At 42.7% G+C, this 24,754-nt stretch overlaps 1 protein-coding gene across 33 annotated transcripts in view, besides 1 other annotated feature; it reads right to left on the reverse strand.

Annotated features, from left to right (window-relative positions):
- Window positions 4,674–24,754, reverse strand: part of PRKAG2 (protein kinase AMP-activated non-catalytic subunit gamma 2) — a 320,989-nt gene continuing 300,908 nt past the window's right edge. For 22 of the 33 annotated variants that reach the window (NM_001407031.1, NM_001407030.1, NM_001407023.1 and 19 more), the window contains 9 exons: window positions 23,438–23,496; window positions 21,211–21,256; window positions 18,718–18,772; window positions 17,263–17,389; window positions 14,267–14,432; window positions 13,893–13,930; window positions 12,625–12,771; window positions 9,071–9,164; window positions 4,674–5,779 (listed from right to left, as the gene is read on the reverse strand). In NM_001407031.1, the coding sequence (NP_001393960.1) occupies window positions 5,748–5,779; window positions 9,071–9,164; window positions 12,625–12,771; window positions 13,893–13,930; window positions 14,267–14,432; window positions 17,263–17,389; window positions 18,718–18,772; window positions 21,211–21,256; window positions 23,438–23,496 (764 nt within the window). In that variant the 3' untranslated portion in view covers window positions 4,674–5,747. Of the gene's footprint in view, window positions 9,165–12,624; window positions 12,772–13,892; window positions 13,931–14,266; window positions 14,433–17,262; window positions 17,390–18,717; window positions 18,773–21,210; window positions 21,257–23,437; window positions 23,497–24,754 lie in introns of all 33 variants that reach the window. The other 11 variants (NM_001407022.1, NM_001407021.1, XM_047420448.1 and 8 more) reach the window with 1 other exon arrangement.
- Window positions 8,190–8,484: an enhancer, noted in NCBI's record as "tiled region #3106; HepG2 Activating DNase matched - State 8:EnhW". NCBI's record gives its function as "activates a minimal TATA promoter and a strong SV40 promoter by Sharpr-MPRA in HepG2 cells {active_cell/tissue: HepG2}" and the evidence as "EXISTENCE:reporter gene assay evidence [ECO:0000049][PMID:27701403]".

A 24,754-nucleotide genomic window follows, 5' to 3' on the forward strand; every position in this document is an offset into this window, starting at 1 on the left:
GCAAGATCTCGACTCACTGCAACCTCTGCCTCCCAGGTTCAAATGATTCTCCTGCATCAGCCTCAGCCTCCCTAGTAGCTCGGATTACAGGTGTGTGCCACCATGCCCAGCTAATTTTTGTATTTTTAGTAGAGACAGTGTTTCACCATGTTGGCCAGGCTGGTCCCAAACTCCTGACCTCAAATGTTCGCCTGCCTCGGCCTCCCAAAGTGTTGGGATTACAGGCGTTAGCCACCACGCCCAGCCTTTTTTTTTTTTTTTTTTTTAAAGACAGGATCTTGCTCTGTCACCCAGACTGGAGTGCCGTGGCGCCATCTCGGCTCACTGCAGCACTGATCTTCTTGGGCTCAACTGATCCTCCCACCTCCGACTCCGGCGTGGCTGGGACCACAGGCACATATCACTACGCCAGTTAATTTTTTATTTTTGTAGAGATGGGTCTCACTGTGTTGTCTAGGCTGGTCTTGAACTCCTGGCTTGAAATGATCCTCCTCCCTTGGTCTCCCAAAGTGCTGGGATTAGAGGTATGAGTCACAGCATCTGGCCCCTAAAACAGTAAAAATCAGGGAATCGTGGGTCTGGATTTCAAGAGGCTCAGGAATGAGCTCATCAAATCTCTCCCTCAGTGGAGGTGAGGGGCAGTCTTTTGTACTTCTGGCTCCTGGAGCCAGCCTTGTTTTTCTTTCTGAGCAGGCACTGGGACACTTTCCTCCGTTCTCCTAAAAGGCAAGAGGAGCTCTCTCCACACATGGCTAAGTCGTATTCTTTGTGCGCGGTTGGTCTGCGCACTTGGCCACCTCTGGATTTGTCTGTAACACTGCAGATTATGTGGCATCTCTCTAACTTAATAGTCAACTGGCAATCTAGAGGGAAAAACTTTGTGGGATGGGGACGCTGCACCAGCGCCACGATCCACATAGACGTGCTGGCTTTCACCAGCCACTGTCCAGACTCTGAACAGACATCAGTTGAGCACCTGCCACATGCCGGATCCTTGCCAGAGCTCAGAGCATCGAGATGAACAGGTCACCCTCCTCAAAGGACTCAGGGGACCACTGTGTCAACAACAACTGCTACTAACATTTACATGGTCCTTTAGAGCCTGCAAAGTGCTGTTGCCTATAAACAACTTGCCAGGTGAGAAAAACCAGTCTAAACAAGGTAAGGGATTGCACAACAGCTTCCTGGCAGTGACAGCAGTGCCGGGCAGCAAACCCTCCTCTGACTGCAGATGCCAGCCGCTTTCAACCACTGCTCTCCGCTGGCCAGGAGGGAGTGAGGGTAGGGTAGGGACGGTGACTTACAACAAATACAGCTGTGTGTGTGGCGGGTCTTGTGCAGCACAGAGGGAGGGGGCATCTGTTTGCTGGGGAGGGAGAGTCACAGCAGAAGTCATATTTGATTCAGATCTTGAGAGATGAGCAGAATTGCTCTAGATGGAGAATCTGGAGATATGGTGCAGGCAGGCAGGTGTGGAAGCTGGGGACCCTTCTGGAGTGCAGGGAAGTGCATCAGTGTGGGCAGAGGCCAGTGAGGGCCTCCATCTCCCAGCTCAGGAGATAAGGCTGGATTCTCTAGGCAGCGAGGGTTTCCCAGCACTGAAGTGATTCGATTTTTGGTTTAAAAATGCAGCCAGGCATAGTGGCCATAATTCGGAAGGGACACCTCTTAGGGCTTACAACTCGAATGCATTCAAAGCTGTTGGAAATGCTGCCCTCTTAGGAGATCTTTTCAAAGGGGTGGGGAGGAGGATTTAAAAATGCACAGAAAACGAGGTGGTTTCCAGCTTTTCTGCTTTGTGTGTGCAGGAGCAGAGGTGAAGGAGGCTGTGTTGGAAACAGGAGTGAGGTGCCCAGGGGCAGGGCTGTAGACAGAGGTGAGGGCTCCTCGACTGCCACCCTCTCCCCTTGCCTGGCGGGTAAGTGAGGCCACTGTGGGAGCTTTGCTCCTCCTTCCTGGGCCTTCGCGCCTGAGCCCCGCAGACTCCATCGCACGCTCCGTGTCTCCTCTGCTCTCTGCAGCTCAGGCAAGTCGGCCACAAGTGCAGGGCCCGGCTCCGGCCACTTCTTCCCCATTGGCCCAAAGGGCACAGGTGAGGACGGGGACAGCAGGAAAGGAAGGAAGCTGATCTGAGAGCAGCGTCAGCCCGGCTGAGAGCCCACTGCTGTGTGCCAGGGGCAGCTCCCATCCAAAGCCTTTCGCCCTCCAATGCCTGTGAGGCCCAGGAGGTGGCTTGAATGAGTGAGCTAGGGGGCCTGGGTGCAGGCAGAGGAGCAGGGCCTGGCCCATCGCAGTCCCCTCTCCCCACCCCAAGCTGTGACAACCGAAGATGTTTCCACATTGCCAAATGCCCCCCTGGGGAACAGAATCTCCCCTGGCCGCGAAGACCGTCCGCTTCCCTGAGTTTAGAAGACTAAACCTTCCTAAGAAATGTTCTAAGAAATTCTATCAGTTCAATACATTTACATCATAAACTCTTCTTAGAGATTAGAATGCGAAACAGAACCAACATCCTTGATTTGTGACATGCACCTGCCCTTATCCACCACCCAGGTGACATTCAGGACAATCCTCTCAAGTGCCCTCAGCTCCGCCTCAAGGCGGGGGTGGGACAGCACAGGCAGCCAGCGCCCACGGGGTCCCTCTGAGCCTCACCATGACGAGGTCAGGGCAGACACCTGGGGGTCACCCAGCAAGGGTTTCTCTATCTAGAACCACTTAAGACTTATTCCCTTCAAATCTCTCCTTCAATACATATTTACCAATGTGTGGCCTTTAACTAGACTTGGCCTCATTCAGGGCCACTTTCCCTTATTCCTACAAAGGCACTGAGCAGGAGCAGCACGCTCACCACAGCCACGCCTTCACCATTTGCTAGGAACAAATGCCAACCCTTCGCTGGAAGAGGGTACCAGGCCTTTGTTAGTTGTAGCCTGACAACAGGAAGAGGCTGCTCCAAGGCCAAGCCTCAGTGAGAGGCCTGTTGTGAGCCGTGCCGTGCCTGGCACAACTCAGGAGCCTGGAACAAGCATGCCTGAGGGAGACCAAGCTCTGCTGAACGAGCCTCGCGGGAATAGGAATAGGAATCGCGAGTACCTTTCTACATGCCCCGAAACCCTTTTCTAAAGCAAAAATATGCTATGTCACCTACACACCTAGATATATGCCACATCATCTATATAACTATACACGTGGTGACCTATAGTTATGTGTTGCTTACCCATGAGAATGCATTGAGAAATGTGTTGTTAGGTGATTTCATCTTTTCTTTTTTGAGCTGGAGTCTCGCTCTGTCACCCAGGCTGGAGTGCAGTGGTGCGATCTAGGCTCACTGCAACCTCCTTCTCCTGGGTTCAAGTGATTCTCCTGCCTCAGCCTCCCGAGTAGCTGGGATTACAGGTGCCCGCCGCCACGCCTGGCTAAGTTTTGTATTTTTAGTAGAGACGGGGTTTTGCCATGTTGGCCAGGCTGGTCTCGAACTCCTGACCTCAGATGATCCACCTGCCGCGGCCTCCCAAAGTGCTGGGATTACAGGTGTGAGCCACTGCGCCTGGCCTAGGTGATTTCATCTTTGTGTGAACATCATAGAGTGTACTTACACAATCCTAGATGGTGCAGCCCACTACATGCCTGGGTTATAGGTATGGCCTATGGCTCCTAGGCTACCAAACTGTACAGCATGTTACTGTAGACAACTGTAACACAATGGTATTTGTGCATGTAAACATAGAAAAGGTACAGCAAAATGCTGCTGTGATACTCTCATGGGGCCACTGTGATATATGCAGTCTGTCCTTGACTGAAGCATCTGTACATGGCCCACGACTGTACCTATATATGTGCCACGTCACCTGTATGTAGATATGTACTCTGCAGACACTCATGTGTTGGGTACACAAACAAGGAGCAGATTGATAAATTCTCTGAGTTTCAAAATTGTGTTGTTTTGGCAGCTTTGTGACTTTTTCCTTTCTCCCAAATATTACCATTAGCTTAAATCACAACCACTATTGTTTCTATGGGGAAAACATACACATTTGCTCTCCCTCTCATATTTGGACTACTAGGAAATGAAAAACTTGATACCTTAGCACCCATGCAAAAAACCTGTGTGGCAATTTTAAATTAAATATATTCATACTCAGCCAGGCACGGTGGCTCACGCCTGTAATCCCAGCACTCTGGTAGGCTGAGGCAGGTGGATCGCCTGAAGTCAGAAATTTGAGATCAGCCTGGCCAACGTGGTGAAACCCCGTATCTACTAAAAATACACACACACACAAAAATTAGCTGGGCGTGGTGGTGCATGCCTGTGATCCCAGCTGCTTGGGAGTCTGAGGCAGAAGAATCGCTTGAACCCAGGAGGTGGAGGTTGCAGTGAGCAGAGATCACGCCACTGCACTTCAGCCTGGGCGACAGAGCAAGACTCTGTCTCAAAAAAATAAATAAAATAAAATAAAATAAAAATAATAAATACATATATTCATACTTAATAGTGGAGAGAGAGAGTTTATGAATTAAACCCTGACTTTTTTTCCTGATACCGGAAAAGAGATGAAATTCATGTACTTCTTTATTTGGGGAGAAATAGCTAAGTGGAAAACTGCATGTAGAATTTTAATCGATAGGTGTTGAAATATAAGGCATTTTAAATAACTTCTTTAACAAAATGGTAGATAGTAGGATCTATTTTAATTTTTCAATCTGAAAAAAAAAAACCCAAAACAAAAAAAAAACAAACTATCCTCATATATATATATACAGTGTCAACATTTTCAGAGCACTTACATTAGGAAACATTGTTTCTCTTCAACTGTATGACAATACTGTATATGCCACAATAAAATTTACAAAAACAATCGCATCAGCAGTCATAACAAACATCATGATTTTACATTTCAATACACAAGAAAAAAAATAGACATCTTCCCGGCACTTGGCTCCCGCCTGACGGCAACGTCTCCTCCACACTTTGAGAGACCTCAGCTTTTAAAACCCAGCAGCGGCTATTTCAGAAGTCATGTCCTTTCCAGATCCAAACTTAAATAATGAGAAATTTGCCATTTCAAAATAACTGAGAGTTTATTCATGGATGTGGTGAAGTTTACTCCACCAAAAGATGTGTAAAAAAATTGCATGAAAGTAAAAATAAATAAAGCTGTTGTAAAGCAGCCTCGTTGACACGGTAGCCCAGAACAAAACACTTACGTGTAAAAGTGTCATTACAATTTTAAAGTAATTATTTATATTCAAATTACAACTTTTTGACAAATCTAAAGAAAACAAACTGATTTGGTAAAAGGTTCAAAGACTTCCACATTCAAGCTCGGTGTTGTTTCACACGCGTGCGCCCCGGCTGCGGCGGTGACATATTGCTGTATTCGGACATAAGGCACTGTGATCTGAACATACCGTGCACTCACCTTATGCCACATCACCTGTTCCATACCAGTGAATTCTTTGAAATGAAAAATAATGAAAACTTCAGGACACAGTGCACTTTAATGACATACAGCATTTAAAATCCTTCAGACAAAGGTCTGAAAACAGTCTTTTAATGCAAGCCTGAATCTTCAAGCACATAAAATCTTTCTTTTTTAAGCTTAATTTCAACATCACTGGAAGAAATACCTATTGTTAAACCCTGATATACATTCTTAACCACTTGCAGCCAGTGTTCATGAGGCAAAACGTGACCCAGAGACTTTGTTCAAGTTCTCCTCCTAGGGCGTCTACATTCACGGCGGTCACTCCGTTTCTGTCTCCTTTTGTTTGGCACCTGTCAGTGGATGGAAGATGAAAGTTTCAAAGCTCATGGTAACAGCAGGGTTCTCTACCCCAGGGGTTTCTACCTGTGTCTGGCAGTGCCTTAGGAGGATGATCCAGAGGCTTCGGAGGAGGGCGATGTGGGAAGGAGCAGGTGGCCCAAGCTCCCATCTCCCACCCAATCGTTCGGGCAGCTTGGATCCACGTAACATCTTGTCATTCTAAATATGTCAGATTTAACTTGGAAAACAAAAAAAAAGAATTCCACTCTTAAAAAATTTTACTAAGAAATATGTAGGTATGTTTTAGTGAAGGTGTGAAGTATTTCAGTTGTGCACTCTTACAAATATGTATTAAAAAAAGGTTTAGGCCGGGCGCGGTGGCTCACATCTGTAATCCCAGCACTTTGGGAGGCCGAGGCGGGCGGATCACCTGAGATCAGGAGTTCAAGACCAGCCTGGCCAACATGGTGAAACCCTGTCTCTACTAAAAATACAAAAATTAGCTGGGCGTAGTGGCGGGCGCCTGTAATCCCAGCTACTTGGGAGACTGAGGCAGGAGAATCGCTTGAATCCGGGAGGTGGAGGTTGCAGTGAGCCGAGAGATCATGCCATTGCACTCCAGCCTGGTTGACAAGAGTGAAACTCCGTCTCAAATAAAAAAAAAAAAAACAAAAAAACAAAAAAAAAACCTTTATAAATATTCTGAAGGATAATTGCACCTAACAAGTATCTGGCTAGGACATTCCACAGTGGATTGGCAGGGAGAGCTACTATTTTTCTCATCACAGGAGCTTCTCTCCTAATTTTTCACCAGACGCTAGACCCCTGAAAGAGATCGGCAATCTATTAGAGCGTGTGGCTGAAACACCGTAGCTCCTGGCATCAGACTGCCCACACACTGGATGCACGCACACATGGGTTCATTTGGACAGTCTAAGTTTGACAATGAACTGTTGCTAAAAACTTTTTTGAGAAAGAGAAAGTGTTATTGTGTTGAACCAGTACCCCTCTGGGGAACGGTGGCCATTGCCCGATGAAAAGAATCACCACTAGTACCTTCTAATCGAGTAACAGCAGACACTTCATCAAACTGCCTCTTACTGACTATTCCATGGACAACCACCTAACAGTGCAGGTCCCGGGCACTGCGCCTCATTGCACACACATGGCTTTTGTGCACGGCTTTCAGCTCTTTTCATAGCAACATAGGAGGGAGACGGGCCTGTATCAGCCGGCTCCTTCTCTACTGAAGAAATTGGGGCTGAAGGAGGTGAAGCGACTTGCTTACATTCAGACAGCGCTCGGGTGGGACAGCTGGGACTTGGCCTCACGGTGGGGGCCTCCTCACTTGCGATTGTTGATCAGATGCAGGCGCTCCCTGAGTTCCACTCCAAAAGTTCACTTGTAATCCAGTTATTAGTAACACGGAATGTTTTCCTCAACAAATCGTGTTGTATACACTGTATCATAAGGAATTCCAACCCAGCTACCCCCATCTTCACGGCACAATTTCTATGGTAACATACATTCCAAATTCCAGCTGGAAATAGATTCCTCTCTGCACCAGCAGTGATGGGAGGGGCATTGCAATGACTTAGAATTTTTGAAATACCAAATCTGGATGGAAATTTGAACTCATCCAGCACAACCGTTCATTCTTATGGTTTGAGATATCAAGAAACAGAGAGGATGAATCGCTTGACTTGTTTACTCTTTTTGTAATGCCCAAAGAGACAGACAAGAGCTGACATTCAGCCTGACCCGCTGGGCAGACTGTGTCCCGTGGTCCAGGGCTGGAAACGGGGCATCTTTTTCTGAAGGTGCCAAGCTATATACCTGTGGGGATAAATCTGCCCAGAGAAGAGGCCTTTTCTAGTTAGCACAAATGTGCTGTGCAGTTATGCCTGCCTGGAAATTTATATGAATTTAATGATGGTCTGGATGAGCCTGGCTCCCTCTGTTCAATGTTGCCTGTGAGATTCCTCCACTGTTGAATGCAGCTGTACTGTTCGTTTTCAATCCTGTATCGTATTCCATCGAATGAATGTGACACAATTTATCCATTCTTCTTTTCAAAGATATTTGGATTATTCCCAGTTTTATGGCATTAACATTCGTTTAGTTCTTAATGTTTCATGATTATAGAGACTATTGTGAGATTCAGGTCTTTTAAACACTTGAAGTTTGCAAGTGACTGCACCAGGCCCCATTTCTAGAGTTTCTGATTCAGTGGATATGGGACGGGGCCCCAACATGAACATTTCATTTTCTAGTAAATTCCAGGTGGTGGTGATGATGCCTGGCCTGAGGACCACCTCGGAAAAATCACTGCTGTACTGGAATTTCTCTTGGTGTTCTCATTTAGCGAATAAGACATGTTTCTTGCAGGTGGTGAAGATTCCTTTAGGGTAGGTATTTTTGGGTTACAGACTTAATTGTAAAAACTAGTCTTAACTGAAATTTCTGAACTAAAGAGAAATCAATACTGTAGCACACACACCGTTTAATATTGGATTCTGAGAGTTCAAAGGGCATGCTGTTTGCTCCCACATCGGGTCCATGTGGCCCTGACAAAGGCTGGGTTGTTCATATTTGACTGGGGCTGGGGAGGTGGAGGGATGGGAAGAGGAGGAGGGAAGGGAGGGCTGGCAGTTTTAAGAACTCTCAAGCCCACCTCTTACTACTGAGTGTGTGAAATGAGAGGAAGGCCAGCTCCTCTTGTCTAAAGCCCTCTCCCGTTCTCTCTGCTCCTCACTGTCTGAGACTCTGAAGGCTTGCTCAAAGTGAATCTGTCAAAAAATGAGTTTAACCACACTCTATCTGAAAGTGAATGTGATTTCTGTACAATATTAATGAATAAAAGTTTGTGTTTAGGTATTCTGTTTTATCTACTCAAAATATAAGTTTTTTTTCTCTTTAAGGAAAGATGAAGGTATCAAATAGAAGCCAGTGACGTTCCCTCTATGTTTCTGGTCACTAGTTCTCTCACAAAGCACAATTGAAGAGGTCTTTTCAGTGGAAAAGGTTATGATGAACATGGCAATGGCTCCCAAGTCATTTAGGGGGCCACTGGACCTTGATAGGATGCTCTTAACTTCGAATACGTTCTATACACTTTCCTCACTCACGCAGAACACTTAAACTTCCCAACTGAAGAGAAAACGAAAATGGTTTCAAAGTAATATACTCAAAGCCTTGATCTGTAGGTGGGTGGAGAAATGATGGTTTAAATGCTGCACTTCCTGTTCTACCTCCCACCCTTCCTAGACGCCGATGGCAAAGGTCAGAAACCAGCATTTTACCTGCTGGTGTGAGGATCAGGGCTTGCAGAATGTCCGACAGGGAAATAATACCCACAATACTATCTGCTTCATTTACCACCACCAGCCGATGGACCTGCAAAGAGAAAAGCAGGACACGTGAAAATTAACATTTAAAAAAGGTTTAAAATGGACATGAGAAATAATGTCCTGTCATGTTTTTATATGATCAACACATCCCTCCAGCCTGGGGAATAGCAGTGAGACATCATCTCTACAAAAACATTAGACAGTGGCTGGGTGTGCTGGTGTGCACCTGTGGTCCCAGTTACTTGGTGGGAGGATTGCTTGAGCCTGGGAAGTGGAGGTTGCAGTGGGCCAAGATCGCACCAGTGCACTCTAGCTTGGGTGACAGAGTGAGATCCTGTCTCAGAAAAAGAAAAAAGCAACACACACACACACATCCCATAAATGAATAAATGAGGGAAAGTAGCCACAGACAGACCCATACGATGACCTTAGGCTCTAATGTTCAATGTGTTACTGTCTGATTACCTGGAAGACCTACTCCGTATTAAAAAGTCACAGCCCTGGTGAAAAACAGGGACACAGGCATGAGAAGGAAAGAGGGGAAAGCTATCTATCTCCTGTCTCTAATGATACTGATTTGTCTCTAATTCAAGCTGATTTGCTTGCTTACTTTTAAGAAAAATGAGCTAGCTATGCCCTGCTGAGTTTTCAATTTTCAAAATATTAATATAGAAAAGATACAACTCAAACACGAAACACAACGTAGCTATCATACATTGTTAAACATAACTGTTTTAATTTCTAAAAGTTGTATATCAGTTTCTAATAACTATCAGGTACTTGTCTTATTAATACATGGGAGAGAAGTCCAGATGATGACAGAAACGAAGAAACAAGGTCGCAGCTCTTACAAGGGTTTTATTTTCTGCAGTGTCTTTTCTCTGTGAAGTTCATATATTAAGAATCGCATCCAAGAGGATAAATGAGCTATAATGAAGTGGGATAGACTACGTCCATCTCTAGTTTTCTACTCTGAAATCTCTGATGAGTGACGGCAGAGCGTTTTGAGGTGTTTCTGTAACAGGCCTTTCACCCGCAGGAAGGGAGCGGCGTTGCTATTCTCTTAAAAGCTTCATGATGGCCGGGCGCGATGGCTCACGCCTGTAATCCCAGCACTTTGGGAGGCCGAGGCGGGCGGATCACCTGAGGTCAGGAGTTCAAGACCAGCCTGACCAATATGGTGAAACCCTGTCTCTACTAAAAATACAAAAATTAGCCAGAAGTGCTGGTGGGCACCTGTAGTCCCAGCTACTCAGGAGGCTGAGACAGGAGAATTGCTTGAACCTGGGAGGTGGAGGTTGCAGTGAGCTGAGATCGTGCCACTGCACTCCAGCCTGGGCGACAGAGCGAGACTGTGTCTTAAAAAAAAAAAAAAAAAGGCTTTGGAACCTGGAGCCGGGTGCGGTGGCTCACGCCTGTAATCCCAGCACTTTGGGAGGCTGAGGTGGGCGGATCACAAGATCAAGTGCTCGAGACCAGCCTGACCAACATGGTGAAACCCCGTCTCTACCAAAACCACAAAAATTAGCTGGGCGTGGTGGTGCATTCCTGTAATCCCAGCTACTCAGGAGGCTGAAGCAGGAGAATCGCTTGAACCTGGGAGGCGGAGGTTGTAGTGAGCTGAGATTGCGCCACTGCACTCCAGCCTGGGCGACAGAGTGAGACTTTGTCTCAAAAAAAAAAAAAAAAAAAAAAAAAAAAAGGCTTCAGAACCTGGGCCACGGCAGCTCTGTGCCGGCTGCGCCCTGGGAGACCCTCTCTGTATTGAACAGTGATACCCCTGATAGAAAACAGGGACATAGGAAGGAGATAGGAAGAGGGGGAAATCCAGTTTTTGTATTTTGTCTCAAATAATACTGTTTGGGTGATGTTTCTGTCATAGGTTGCTTTAGGTTAATAATAATAATAATAATAATGGCTTGGTCATCTTTCCCGTGGCAGTCAACATAAATTTCTTTTAAATGTTTCTCTAAAAAAGCTTTCAGGTTCATCAGTAATCCTGTGATATAACACAGCACAATTATTTGCTAACTATAATCACACATTAAAATGATAGTTCACATTTGTCTTCTACACTGAAGACATTTTATTGGTTACATTCAATAGTGGATATTAGCCGGGTGCGGTGGCTCATGCCTGTAATCCCAGCACTTTGGGAGGCCGAGGCGGGCAGATCACGAGGTCAGGAGATCGAGACCATCCTGGCTGACAAGGTGAAACCCCGTCTCTACTAAAAATACAAAAAATTAGGCGGGCGCCTGTAGTCCCAGCTACTCGGGAGGCTGAGGCAGGAGAATCGCTTGAACCTGGGAGGCGGAGCTTGCAGTGAGCCGAGATCACGCCACTGCACTCCAGCCTCGGCGACAGAGCAAGACTCCGTCTCAAAAAAAAAAAAAAAAAATAGTGGATATTAAACAGATATCTTTTGAACTCTGAAGGCTAAGGGAAACCATCTCATCCAGAGAATTAAGCAGTTCTCTCAGACTGAAATGACTCCCCACGTATTTTCTTGTCATCTGCTGCTGAGTCAAACTTATGTATGTCCTTTGTTGGAGGTACCTAAAAGTTAGTGTTCTATTTATGTCATATAAACAAATGGAATCATCACTGATACTGTACACCCTTCTCCTAGCTACATTAAAGCTAAAAACTGTTATTTTTTTGGTCCTTCTGTGAGGAGTCATCTTGTGAAGGAATTTTCTTTTTAGGCGGAGTCTTTTATTTAGGGTGTTACACAAAGTACATTTGAAAATCTTATAAGCAGTAAAGTCTAAGGAAATTGGACTGCTGAGGTGCAGGAAACTGGGAGTTACTAGATTATTTGCTATTTATCTAATTGAGGAAAGAGAGATACTGGTGGGAAGAGAGAAAAAAGTTTTACTGACTTATCATTCACTTTGTTAAAATATATATTACGCACTTTAAATTTTGAATTCATAAATATTCAAATGGAACTTAAAGCTTCTGGGATTTTTGTTTTCTCAAAACAAAATGTATCCATAGATACAGATACATCGATCTATTTAGAGACAGGGTCTTGCTCTGCTGTCGAGACTGGAGTGCAGTGGCACCGCCACAGCTCACTGAAATATCAAGCTCTTGGATTCAAGGGATCCTCCTTCCTCAGCTTCCCTATTAGCTATGACTACAGGTCCAAGCCACCATGCCCAGCTAATTTATTTTTATTTTTAGTAGAGACAAGGTCTTATTATGTCGTCCACACTGTCAAACATATATAGTTTAAACTATGAATGTATCTTACCAGTTTATTGGATTCACCTATGATACCAGGACTTTTCCATTCAATTCAATTCAACAAACTTTTAGAGATCGCCTATATGCCAAGTAGTGTGCCAGGTTCTGGGACAGGAGGGAATCCCATCGACTGAACCTGGAGGCTGCCTCGCTGGGCCCTTCCTGAGATTCAGGCTTCCAGAGGCATCATTCACTACTGGGGACTTGTTGCAGTGGACGTCGGGGGAGCAGGACTGGGAAAGCCGTCTCACCTCAGCTCTTACTATTCTGTCCACGATGGTCTCCAGTATTTCCAGCTTATTGCACTTCACAACACCTTCAAAATACTGTGAACGGTGCTGAAGGGCCTGGGTCACCGTGATATCTAGGTTATTGTATGTTTTCTCAGCAGCAAGATTCTGTAATGAAGCAAGAGAATAAATTATATCCTTTCATTTCAGTTCACTTCAATGACCAAAATTAGTGAGCTTAAGAGAGCCTGATTTCTAAAAACTTTAATGCTTATCTGAATTTAGTACCTGCATACATCAGACGTTCTTTCTGGCTTACGACATGCCATTGCTACTGTTATTTTGTCAACATATCAATCACAATTAAAGATAACCATGTTACAAGGTCTACCTTCCTTACGAAGCAACATTGTTAAACTTTGACAGTATATCCTGCCAAAGACTGCCCCCCAATTTTTACCCTCTAATGCTCTCTACCATGCATGGATGAAATCTCTGGCAAGGTGGGCTGACATCTGTAAAGGGTGGTGAGTGCCACAGGGCTAGAAATGCTGCAGCAACGGACCTTCTCAACAAGCTCCCTGGGGAACAAGGTTTCTGCTGGGAAGGCTTTGGGGGACCCATGGGGATCAAGCAACCAGAGGAAGAACAGGCTTGAGGAGCCCCATGGATCCAAATGGCTTCATGGGGCTCTCATTCATTTTAGCGGGTCCCACTCAACCAAAATGCCGATCAGCATATTTCTCGGTGACTGTTATGTTTAACATAATAGTGTGAAGCAAAGGGTTTGAGGCAGCTGCAGAAGAATGTTTAATGTGGGGTCAGTATTGTGGCAAAAAATGGCGTGCACATTTGGGGCTATAAAGTGTCAGTCCCCTTTTCTTCTTTAGAACAGTGGCTCCCAATCACTAAGCAATGGGATGCGCCCGACAAAGGAGCCATGAGTCCACGTGTGCACTGCGCACGCGTCTAGAGGCGAATAAATCAGGCCTCCTACGTGGAAACAAGAACATTTAAAATATATACACATGCTGTGGCAGTGCATAAAATATGCATGTATTGTAAAGATGAAAAATTATAAAATGCTACTAATATATAATTGGTTGCTAAACCAATGCAGATTAAAAGTACAATTACTATAGAAGGTCTATAAAATTCTGATAATATCCTCACACCCCAAAAGGTTAGAAATTATTAAATTAAGAAACAAGATAAAAACATAAAAACACATTACATGAATGTTTAAAATGCATTCTAGGTGACAGATTGAACAAAATTAAAATACTTACAATTACATCAAATTTGGAATAAATATCTACAACTTTTCCTAAAAATGAAAAATATATGTTAGAAAAATGTCTTAAGGGACAAAAAGAAATTCATTTAAAATCAGTTTTAATGACATAATTACTAAAAGTTAAACACTGATAAATAACCTTGTCTATTTTAAATGAAAACTTAGATATGAAATCATATTTTAATGGACATATGAAAATAAACCAATTAAACTTTTTTTACGATCCTGCGTGCCCCTTGGTGCTGAATTTATTCACCATACCCAAGTTTTCATTTTCCCCACGTATCTCCTGTGCCAGGTCATCTTACAATAATTGCACCCTGAGATAAACAATTATTTCTGCCTGTCAGCGCCAAACACACAAACCTGACTCATCCACAACAGGCAGAGCTGATATTCGTCTTTCCACAAATATGTTCAAGGCTTTGATGATGGGAGTGTCTGGATGTATGAAGGCAATGTTGTGGTACGTTCCTATTCCAAGCTCATCCAGGTTCTGCTTCATGAAGGCAGGCTTTGGCATATCAGACATCTAAACGGAAGATAAACGCAAACGTTCTAGACCCAGAACACACTCTTGTCATGTTCAAAGGTCCAGATTTGAATGAAAAAGTATGTCCAACAAATTAAAGTTAGTTTTTTCTAACAGTCTACCTGGATGCCTGAATTAACATGAGAAAATTACAAAGGACTGTATCTTTTGTTTGAACCAGTTTGTAGGTCTATGCTTCTATTTAACTATTCACAAACTATTGCAGAGCATTGATACTGTAATCTTTTTCCATCTCCTCTTCACTCACTAAGAACGCGTATAGAACCAGGGAAGAACAGGTCTATTTGGGATATTAAGACCTGTAAGCCACGAAGAATTGAATCCTTTATTCTTAATTGTTCATGTTAAATTCCTGGTCCTGCTGTCAGGATTAAGTAATATTTATTAAGAACCTATACATTTCCAAACCCAAAGCATTTGACGGCAGCTGTCTGAGCCACTGCTAAGCTAGTCCTCACGCCACCCGCCTCTACATCCTGAATTCTCCTTGGAGAGCTCCAATTTTTGTCTACTAGGAACAAAGAAGCCAGCTGAACAGAATTAAAAGAATCTTTAAAAATTAACTTTTCATGGGCTGTTTTAAAGGAGGAGGGATATGGCAGGAGAGAAAAGTCTAGGATCATGTTTGAGTATAACAAAATAAGGTCTACGGTTTCAAAAATCCACCTTTTATAAAGGGTATAGTTGATTCCATCCTCCTGGTGTACCTTATAATTATCAGGAAAAGATGAACAATTAGAAGAAACAAAATGTTCAAGTCAAAGAGTTCATCAATATTCAAATCATGAGACTCCTAGAAATTTAGAGAAAAAAAAAAAGAAAGCCCTATTAGGTCATCTAGTCCATCTCAACATAGCGAATTCCCTGTTGCACACTATAGGCTTAGGCTAATTTTCAAACGTCTTGAAGGGTAATGCTCCTTTTTTCTCAGAAAATGATCTCATAATTCAGTAAAAATCAGGCTCTGAAATGTCTTTAAGTTCTATATTTTTAACTGAAAACCTTTAGTTAGCTGAATATTCTGGTAGCATGATTCTAATTACCATATTGGCCCAAATATGAGGCAGTACTGGGCAGAGGCAACTTCCTCTCCTTTTTATAGAAGATAAAAATCTGAAGCAGCTCTGCAAAAGAATGATCTCACGCTTTTACTCCCTCTTGTGCAACAGCACACTAGCAGAAATAGTTTGGGCTTGGGAGTCAGAGAGACTCCCGGGTTTGCAATCTACCACTTAGTATCCACATGACTGGGGGCACGTTTCCCAGCCAGGTGTCCTGTGTATGCAAGGTATGCAAACGCCTCCCTCCCAAGGCCCCTGCGTGGAGAAAAGCATGGGGAGTGAGGAACGCTTGAAAGGGATCCTGGCTCTACCGCTTCCCAGCCACGCAACCTTGGCAAAGCTACTTAACCTTTCTTAGCTGCATCCCTATAAAATAGGATTAATAAAAATACCTACCTGATAGGGTAGCAGCGAGGATGAGATTATGTCAAGTGCTTAGAACAGTGCCGGACATACAGTAATCAGCTCTCATGATTAATATTATTTAAAAATGATGACTCTAAGGATTAAGTGAGCTGCAGGCCTGGCACGTGGGGGCCCTGAATACATCCTTCCCACCCCATGCTCCCTCTGTTCCTATTAAACTTCAACTACTAAAGCGGCTGCATTCCCAGATGTCCAGTCTGATAAACAATGCGGATGCATCCCTAATCCCTTTTTCCTAGATTATCGCCTTTATTAAACTTCAGACTTGAGTTTTTTTGTAAATTACTCTTCCCTACCTTCTTTCTTAGCACAGCATGGTTAAATAAATGTTATTTATATATGTAAATGATTAAAATACAAGACTGGGTTGATTGACAAGGTATTTCTCTCCATCACTAAGCCCTCTGTGCTTCTGTCAGCAAAAGGGGTCCCTCAAGCTGCCTCCAGGGCAGGAGCTTCAGCTCCTTCACACTGCACCGGAACGCTATGTTAGGTCCTTAGGTGAAGCCATGGGGAGGAAAATGGGAAAGCTAATTTGAAGTACATTTTTAATATCTGTTACAGTCTTGGAAAAACAACTCTTCAAAGTACCTCTTCAGAACGATTAAGACCTTCTACTGGTTCTATTTGACTGATTACTTACAACCTCAAATTCCATGCATGTAATTAAAAGACAAACATAAAAAGCCTCTTATAAACTCTCTGTTCTTCCTGAGTCTCTTTTAATGTTTCCAACCAAACAGGCTCAAAGTTCTGGATGACTACGGAGCCAGGTCATTTCAAGTAGCTGAGAAAACCTACAGGTTAATACAGGCCTTATTTGGACCAACATGGTATTCTCTTGCCAAAATTTTATTTGCTTCGGGTTTTTCTATCACTGCTGCAGTTTATAAGATAATCTTGAGGAAAGCATTTTTTGGAACATGTTTCTAAAACCATGACACCAGTAAAAGCAACATAAAGCAATTTTTGCTCTAGATATTAGTTCAGTTTATCTTGTACAACAGTCCTCAATTAGACTTGCAGATTGCCTTATTTCCCCTCATATGCTGGTGACAAATGTTTTAATTTAAAGAGAGAATGCCGAGTTTTGTTGTTAAAATTGTTTTGATACTTGCACTAAAAGGTGATTCTTTTAAATTGGAATCAACTTTAAGAATGTACAATTCAGAGAGTAGTAAGTTGAGAAACTGAAGTTTAGAAAGGGAGACCTCAAAACTAACAATTTCTTCTACTGAGGGTAACAGGAGCCAATTTACTTGAAGTACATTATTTAATAAGTAAATGCAATTATGTCTTTAGAAACGCTAAAAACTACTTACAAAAAGCTGGAGGAACTTGAGGATTCTTTTGTGGGTAAGTATATAAAGTGCATTCCCACTGATAGGGTCAATAACGGGCAATCTGTGGATTTTATTTTTGATCAAGGAGTATACAGCATCGAAGAGGCTGTGGGAGAAGTCATTAAAGTTGTTAGGAGGCTTTCGAGAAAAATCAGAACACTTTGGACTACCCCTGCCTTAAAGCACTTCCAGTGTTTTTATTATTGCAATAATAACAGTGTTTTGGAAGAGTTTTAAATTAGAGATCTCAGCAAATTTTTCATTTTTCACAATCTATGTTAACATATCTCAAATACAAGTGCAAGCTACAAATCTCTAGAAGAGGAGATTTTTTTTGGTTTGTTTTTTTGAGACAGGGTCTTGCTCTGTTGCCTGCCGTCATGGCTCACTGCAGCCTTGACCTCCCGGGCTCAGGTGATCCTCCCACCTCAGCCTATTTGAGTAGCTGGGACTACAGGCATGCGCCACCTTTCTTTTTTGTAGACATGGGGTTTTGCCACGTTGCCCAGGCTGCTCTCGAACTCCTGAGCTTAAGCGATCCACCCACCATGGCCTCCCATAGTGCTGGGATTACGGGCATGAGCCCTTGCGCCCAGCCAGGAAGAGGAGTTTTTTTAAAGAGTGTATTTAGTGATTTTATTTGAAAGACGATGAAACCTAAATCCTTAGAAAAGCAAACAGATACATCGTATTGGCAAGAGAGCAAAGGCTGTAGCAGCAAGCTCTCTGCATTGGTGAGTGGGCAAACTGGCTCTACCCCGGGCCGGCCCGGCTAGGAGATATTGCAGGGCCAACATTTCTGTTCTACTTGGTCCCTCTCCTGGGACTGCCAGTAAGAAGGTTGTTATACCTTTTTGTTAGGACTTGGAAATAAAATGAAAATAAATATTTTAATCTTTCTCTGTACTGGATTTGAGTTTGAAAGATGCTTTTACACCAATATGGAAATGTATCACAGCCAAACCAGAAGGCTTGGATAAAAAAGGACGGGCCAGACGACTACACAGAAGGCAGCCCATGCTCTCACCACATCTGAACCGACATCTAACACACACTGATGTTTAAACGCTAGTGTGGAGCAGAATTGCCAAGGGAGTTGTTTAAATGTGTATTCCTGGGCCCTATCCTGATTTAGCAGGTCAGGGGTAAAAGCCCAGGAATCTGCAATTTCAACACGCCCCCCAGATTGGCCGAGATCTTCGTGATGGTTTAGTATGACCCTATTACTAGACCATTATCCATCCTTAGCACCAGCAACGGCTGTGATTTTTGTAGTGTTCCTAGATTTACTGAATGCGTACAGTGTAGCTGGAATTAAGGAGGCAGGCCCTGTTTGGAATGAAGAACATGTTTATTTGTGTCTTTCTTTCTATCATGGTGATAAAACACATACATCTGAATGAATGTTTTCAAAGAAAAAAAAAACAAGTTTACCTTGCATCTGGAGATATATTCACTAAAGGCTTAAATGTTTCTTGTAAATAAAGCTCTGTATTTATAGAAAGAAAATATGCAGTTAGTAACACATTTGCTGTTTGCAGTTATAACACAAATTCAAATACCCTTCAGTTTACGGTTAATAGTTAGAAGGATTAAAAACTCAAATAAAAAGAAATTTAATTTGCCTAAAACTCCTGTGTTAATCATAGTTATGGCTATTTTAAACAACTTCCAAACTGTTTTCAGGATGTTGCATTTGAAGAAAAATTAAATATTAAAAAACAATGTGACAGTAAGTGTTTATAAAATCAGGAAAAACAAAGAAATCTGATAAAAGAGCAATACCAGCAGAGGTCACTAGAATGCTACCAGGTTCACCTTACTCTCAAGAAATGAAGCAATTATGAAATTTAAAAAATCAATTTCCATAAGTTATAAGATAAAATCAGTTATGACAAACTTTGTTCTTTAAATATTTTTAAGTATTATTTTACCAAATTGATGCTCAAAACCTACTGCATTGTGGGCATCTTTCCAGCACATAAAAACTGTTTTTTTCTGAAGATATCAACTGCAATTAATTTGCTTTTCCAAGGTTTCTTTTTTTTTCTGAGACAGTCTCACTCTGTCACTCAGGCTGGAGTGCAGTGGCATGATCTGGGTTCACTGCAATCTCTGCCTCCCAGGTACAAGCAATTCTCCCACCTCAGCCTCCCAAATAGCTGGGACTAAAGGTGCACGTCACCACACCCTGCTAATTTTTTTTGTATTTTTAGTAGAGATGGGGTTTCATGATGTTGGCCAGGCTGGTCTCGCACTCCTGACCTCAAGTGATCCACCTACTTCAGCCTCCCAAAGTGCTGGGATTACAGGCATGAGGTCCTGTGCCCAGCCTAATTTTTTTTTTTTTTTTGAGAAGGAGTTTTGCTCTGTTGCCCAGGCTGGAGTACAGCAGCATCATCTTGGCTCACTGCAACCTCTGCCTCCCAGGCCCAGGCGAGTCTCCTGCCTCAGCCTCCCGAGTAGCTGGGAGTACAGGTGCGCACCACCACGCCTGGCTACTTTTTTGTATTTTTAGTAGAGACAGGGTTTCACCATGTTGGCTAGGCTGGTCTCGAACTCCTGACCTCAGGTGATCCACCCGCCTCGGCTTCCCAAAGTGCTGGGATTATAGGCGTGAGCTACTGCGCCTGGCTCTAATTTTGTATTTTTAGTAGAGAGAGGGTTTCACCATGTTGGTCAGGCTGGTCTTGAACTCCTGATCTCAAGTGATCCACCTGCTTTGGCCTCCCAAAGTGCTGGGATTACAGGTGTGAGCCACCGCACCTGGCCTTGCTTTACCAAAGTTTCTATACAGAAGGCGTTTAAGAATATTTTGGCATTATTATTACTACAAAATATCATGTAATGTCAAAACGTAAACATACTTAAACCTTGGTCTATCAGTACTTGTACAGTAGAACTGGACAAGAAGCTGGTGTTACACAATCACTGCACAACAGACTGTACAGATCCCATGCCAAATTTGTTTAGCTTGGTTTGACAAAGCCGTAATAAACCAAACCCATCACTCAGTGAAACTTCTAAATCGTATGGATTTGAAAGGGCCCCTGGGGGTGTAAGAGAACTCCAAGATGTATTCTGATTTCACAGCCAGCTACAAAGGTTGCTTCTCCTATCAAGCATATTATGGGAAACACAGAACCAAACTCTTCAATTTTGAATTCAAAATTTTCCTTCAGTTGGTCCCTCCATTTCTACCAGTGTTTCCTTGAGCACCCTCCAAAGGCTCCGCTGTTGCAGACAGACTGGGTCTGCCGTGATTCCCACCCCCGGTCCTCTCCACCAACCCACCATGACAAGTGTCAGTGAGACCACCACCTTACAATCATGAAATGCGAATTTAAGAAATGGTTCTATGGCAGAAAAGAGTATCATGATTTTACAGGGTGAATGTCAATGTGACAATGAAGAGAATATGGTCTTCAAATTACTTCCATGCTATTTGCTCCAAACCATCTAGTTTGAGGTTCATTTGTCCTAAGTTTCTCCACAATTTGTAAAGAAACAATTACTAGGTTTAAATAAGAACAGATGCTTGCTTTGGTTCAAGTTAGGCATGCCTCTGATGCATTTCTTAATACCAAGGCAAATCTCTGAGGGCTTAGACTTAGTAGTGAGCGGTGGCCCCATTGTGGGCAGCGAGGTGGGGCTTGGTTAGCTCATTCATCTTCACATTCCTGGCCCTAGGATAAGGCCTTGCCTGCTGAAGGTGTCCTATACATGTCTATAAACAGAAGGGACAATACTTATATTGTTCAGCTTTAGTACAGTAGCATACTATCAAAATTAACAGAAATAAAGAGAATGTTTTATATAACATTTTATGGAGCAGAGAGAAAAGGATCTGCAAAATGAAAACATACTTTTCATACTAAACATAGCTTTCCCGATACTAAAAGATTTTAAACATCCAATAGTGCTTACCCCTCCATGTTTCAATTTTATGTTCCTCTAATTCATAAATCTGTACCTGCAAATAAAAAAATTCTTATTTATAAATATACATATACAACATAGAAAAAATATTTGGAAAATGAAACAAAACATAGCTTGGATAATAGCATTTTCTATTCGCAATTAGAAAATGAGGCGGCCAGGTGCGGTTGCTCATGCCTGTAATCTCAGCACTTTGGGAGATCAAGGTGGGCAGATCACCTGAGGTCAGGAGTTTGAGACCAGCCTGGCCAACATGGTGAGACCTCATCTGTACTAAAAATACAAAAATTAGCCAGGCATATTGGTGGGTGCCTGTAGTCCCAGCTACTCAGGAGGCTGAGGCAGGAGAATTGCTTGAACCCAGGAAGCAGAGGTTGCAGTGAGCCGAGATGGTACCACTGCATTCCAGCCTGGGCAACAGAGTGAGACTCTGTCTCAAAAAAAAGAAAGTGAGGTGAGATATAGAGAAAAAAATGTATCTCAAGTTTTTTTTTTTTTTTGAGACAAGGTCTCATTCTGTCATCCGGGCTGGAGTGCACAAGTGCGATCATGACTCACTGCAGCCTCAACCTCCCAGGCTTAAGTAATCCTCTCAACTCAGCCTCTGAGTAACTTGGACTACAGATGTACACCACCATGCCTGGCTAATTTTTGTGGGTTTTTTTTTTTTTTTTTTTTTTTTTTTTGTAGAGATGGGGTTTCACCATGTTGCCCCACTGGTCTCAAACTCCTGGGCTCAAGTGATCCACCCTTCTCAGCTTCCCAAAGTGCTGGGACTACAGGCGTGAGCCACTGTGCCTGGCCTGTATCTACAGATATTAAGAAAAACTTTGGGCTGCATATTTAGACATAACTGCTTTTTTGCAATTTTGATTTCATATTCTACTGCTAAGATTTCTTATATGGGATTTGCTGCATTTCACAGAAATCTATCTATTCAAAAATCACACTCATGCTGATTTTGCTAGTTCAAAAGCAGAGATATGACCACTATAAGGAAAGCCCGTGTTCACTTGCATTGGTAATATTGAAGAAATAATACACTTCATGGGAAATAAATACAGGATATTTACAAAATCTTTGGTAAAACTTCCTAAGAGTATGGTTGTGTTTGTTTTTCGGAGACAGAGTCTCCCTCTGTCGCCCAGGCTGGAGTGCAATGGCGCGATCTCGGCTCACTGCAACCTCCGCCTCCTGGGTTCAAGCGATTCTTGTGCCTCAGCCTCCTGAGTAGCTGGGATTACAGATGCCCGCTGCCACACCCAGCTAATTTTTGTATTTTTAGTAGAGACAGGGTTTCACTATGTTGGCCAGGCTGGTCTCCAACTCCTGACCTCAAGTGATCCACTTACTTCGGCTTCCCAAAGTGCTGGGATTACAGGCGTGAGCCACTGTGCCCGGCAAGAGCATGTTTTATGAAGAAACTCATTTTTGTATTTGATGTAAGAATTATTGGATAATACTGAGCATTACGCATAAAGCAGTATTAATTGAATTAACCTACACCTTTTAAGTACCCCAAATAGGACTAGTTAAATAAGAGTATGCAATCCTGTCCTTCCCCCCACCCTCATGAACAAACAAACAGAAACTAAAAACACAAAACCAAGCAGGTTGAATCTCAGATATCACAAAGTTAGATGAAGGACAAAAGTGGTTTTTAAGCTACGCTCTTTCCAGAACCATTGTACTAGGGACCAGAGAGTTCTGCTACTAAAATCAGCCAGGAGCTGTCTCTTCCTAATTAGCAGGAACATGTCAAAACGGAATTTATTTCACTTTAATGACTCATTTTTTTCTGCTTTAAAATCACAAAGTACATATAATTCTTGTTCTGCAATTGCTGGGGTAACTGAATTAAGCTCTACCACCTCAACAGGCCCGCAGAGATAAGCAAAACTTACAGAACGTCTAGCTAATAAATATGTAGAATTCTGCTAAGCCAAGGAATTCCGAAAGCTGAATAAAGAATCTATTTCCTTTTATTTTTCCTGAGAATTCCTTCTTTGAGTTTCATACATATAACTTACAGTAAAGAGAGTTTTGTACTGAAGTTCCCTGCATGTTATATAGATTTGGAAAATCACCATCAGCACACCATACCAAAAAAGAAAAAACTGAAAACATTAAAAATCTTAAAATACACACATATACCTACACACATACATAGATACGTACAGCTCCAACTACTGACATAGGAACTGGTGCCACTTACCATAGGTGATTTATAGTATCTATGTAGTATATTTATGAAATCTGTAATTGTTAGCATTCCTGGAACAAAGAATTACATGTTACAAATAAAACCATGAAAACATTTTTAAAAATTTCAAATGACAAGTGAGCCTAGAATATATGCTAGAAGAGCTTATAAAATATACTTCGAAGATATCAAGCAGAGTTTAATATATTATTTAAAACTATTGATGTGTTAATTGTGTATACCAAACTGGATATACAAATTTAGCTGAAATTAAACCTGACAGTAAGTACTACGGAACTAACCAGAGAATTTGGCAAATCAATGAGAGAAAACTCATTAATTGATACAAATTTGAAAAAAGAATTGCAGTTACAGGTAAATAATTTTAAGTACTTTAAGATAAAGTATTCCGTAAGCTTTAGAAACGTGACAATTCTGGGCACTTGGATTGTTTCCCAAGAAGCATTCTAAACACAATGGTTTTAACAGTTGCCATTTATTGAGTGCTTTTGACGTGCTAGACACCAGGATGATACGGATGAAAAAGACATGAACTTCTTCCCTGATGAAATTAAAACCTAGAAGCAGACATAACGATCATTTCAAAATAACGTGAAGAATACTAAGAGAGACAATGGCATTGTCTGCTGTGATTCATAAGATAAGTAACGATGGCATTTAGATAGCTGTAAGTTACACAACAGTTTTAACAGTATAACAATGGTCTGGCAGAGACATCAGTCATGTTTACAGCATCTAATTTGCCCTGTCAAAAAGGTGTGCACTAGCGAGATGAGTGCGGGGCCCAGGGATGCCATATGCCATGTGTGGCCCAAAGTGGGGCAGCTGGCTCACATCTGACTGTGGTGTCCTACGTGGGGTTTGTTCATTGGGCTGGTAAAGACACATAAGCTCTTCAGAGAGCCAAAAAGTTGCTAAATTAAAAGAAATTCAACAACAACAACAACAAAAGCTCCATAAAAGTTACAACAGTGTGTAGAGTTCTCAATGAGGCGGCAAAAAAAAAAAAAAAAAGAAAAAAAGGACAACAGTGTTTGGACCTTACTAGCACGTCCACCTTCTTACCCAGTATGTAAAAGCAAGGAATTTTTTTTTTTTTTTTGACAGGGTCTCGCTCTGTCACCCAGGCTGGAGTACAGTGCAGCGATCATGGCCTTGACCTCCTGGGCTCAAGTGATCCTCCCACCTCAGCCTCCTGAGTAGCTAATTTTTGCATGTTTTTGTAGAGATGAGGTCTTGCTATGTTGCCCAGGCTGGCCTCGAACTGCTGGGCTCAAGCGATCTCCCTGCCTTGGCCTCCCAAAGTGC

The sequence above is a fragment of the Homo sapiens genome, chromosome 7 (assembly GCF_000001405.40).
Source record: "Homo sapiens chromosome 7, GRCh38.p14 Primary Assembly".
In the NCBI taxonomy this organism is placed as follows: domain Eukaryota; kingdom Metazoa; phylum Chordata; class Mammalia; order Primates; family Hominidae; genus Homo; species Homo sapiens.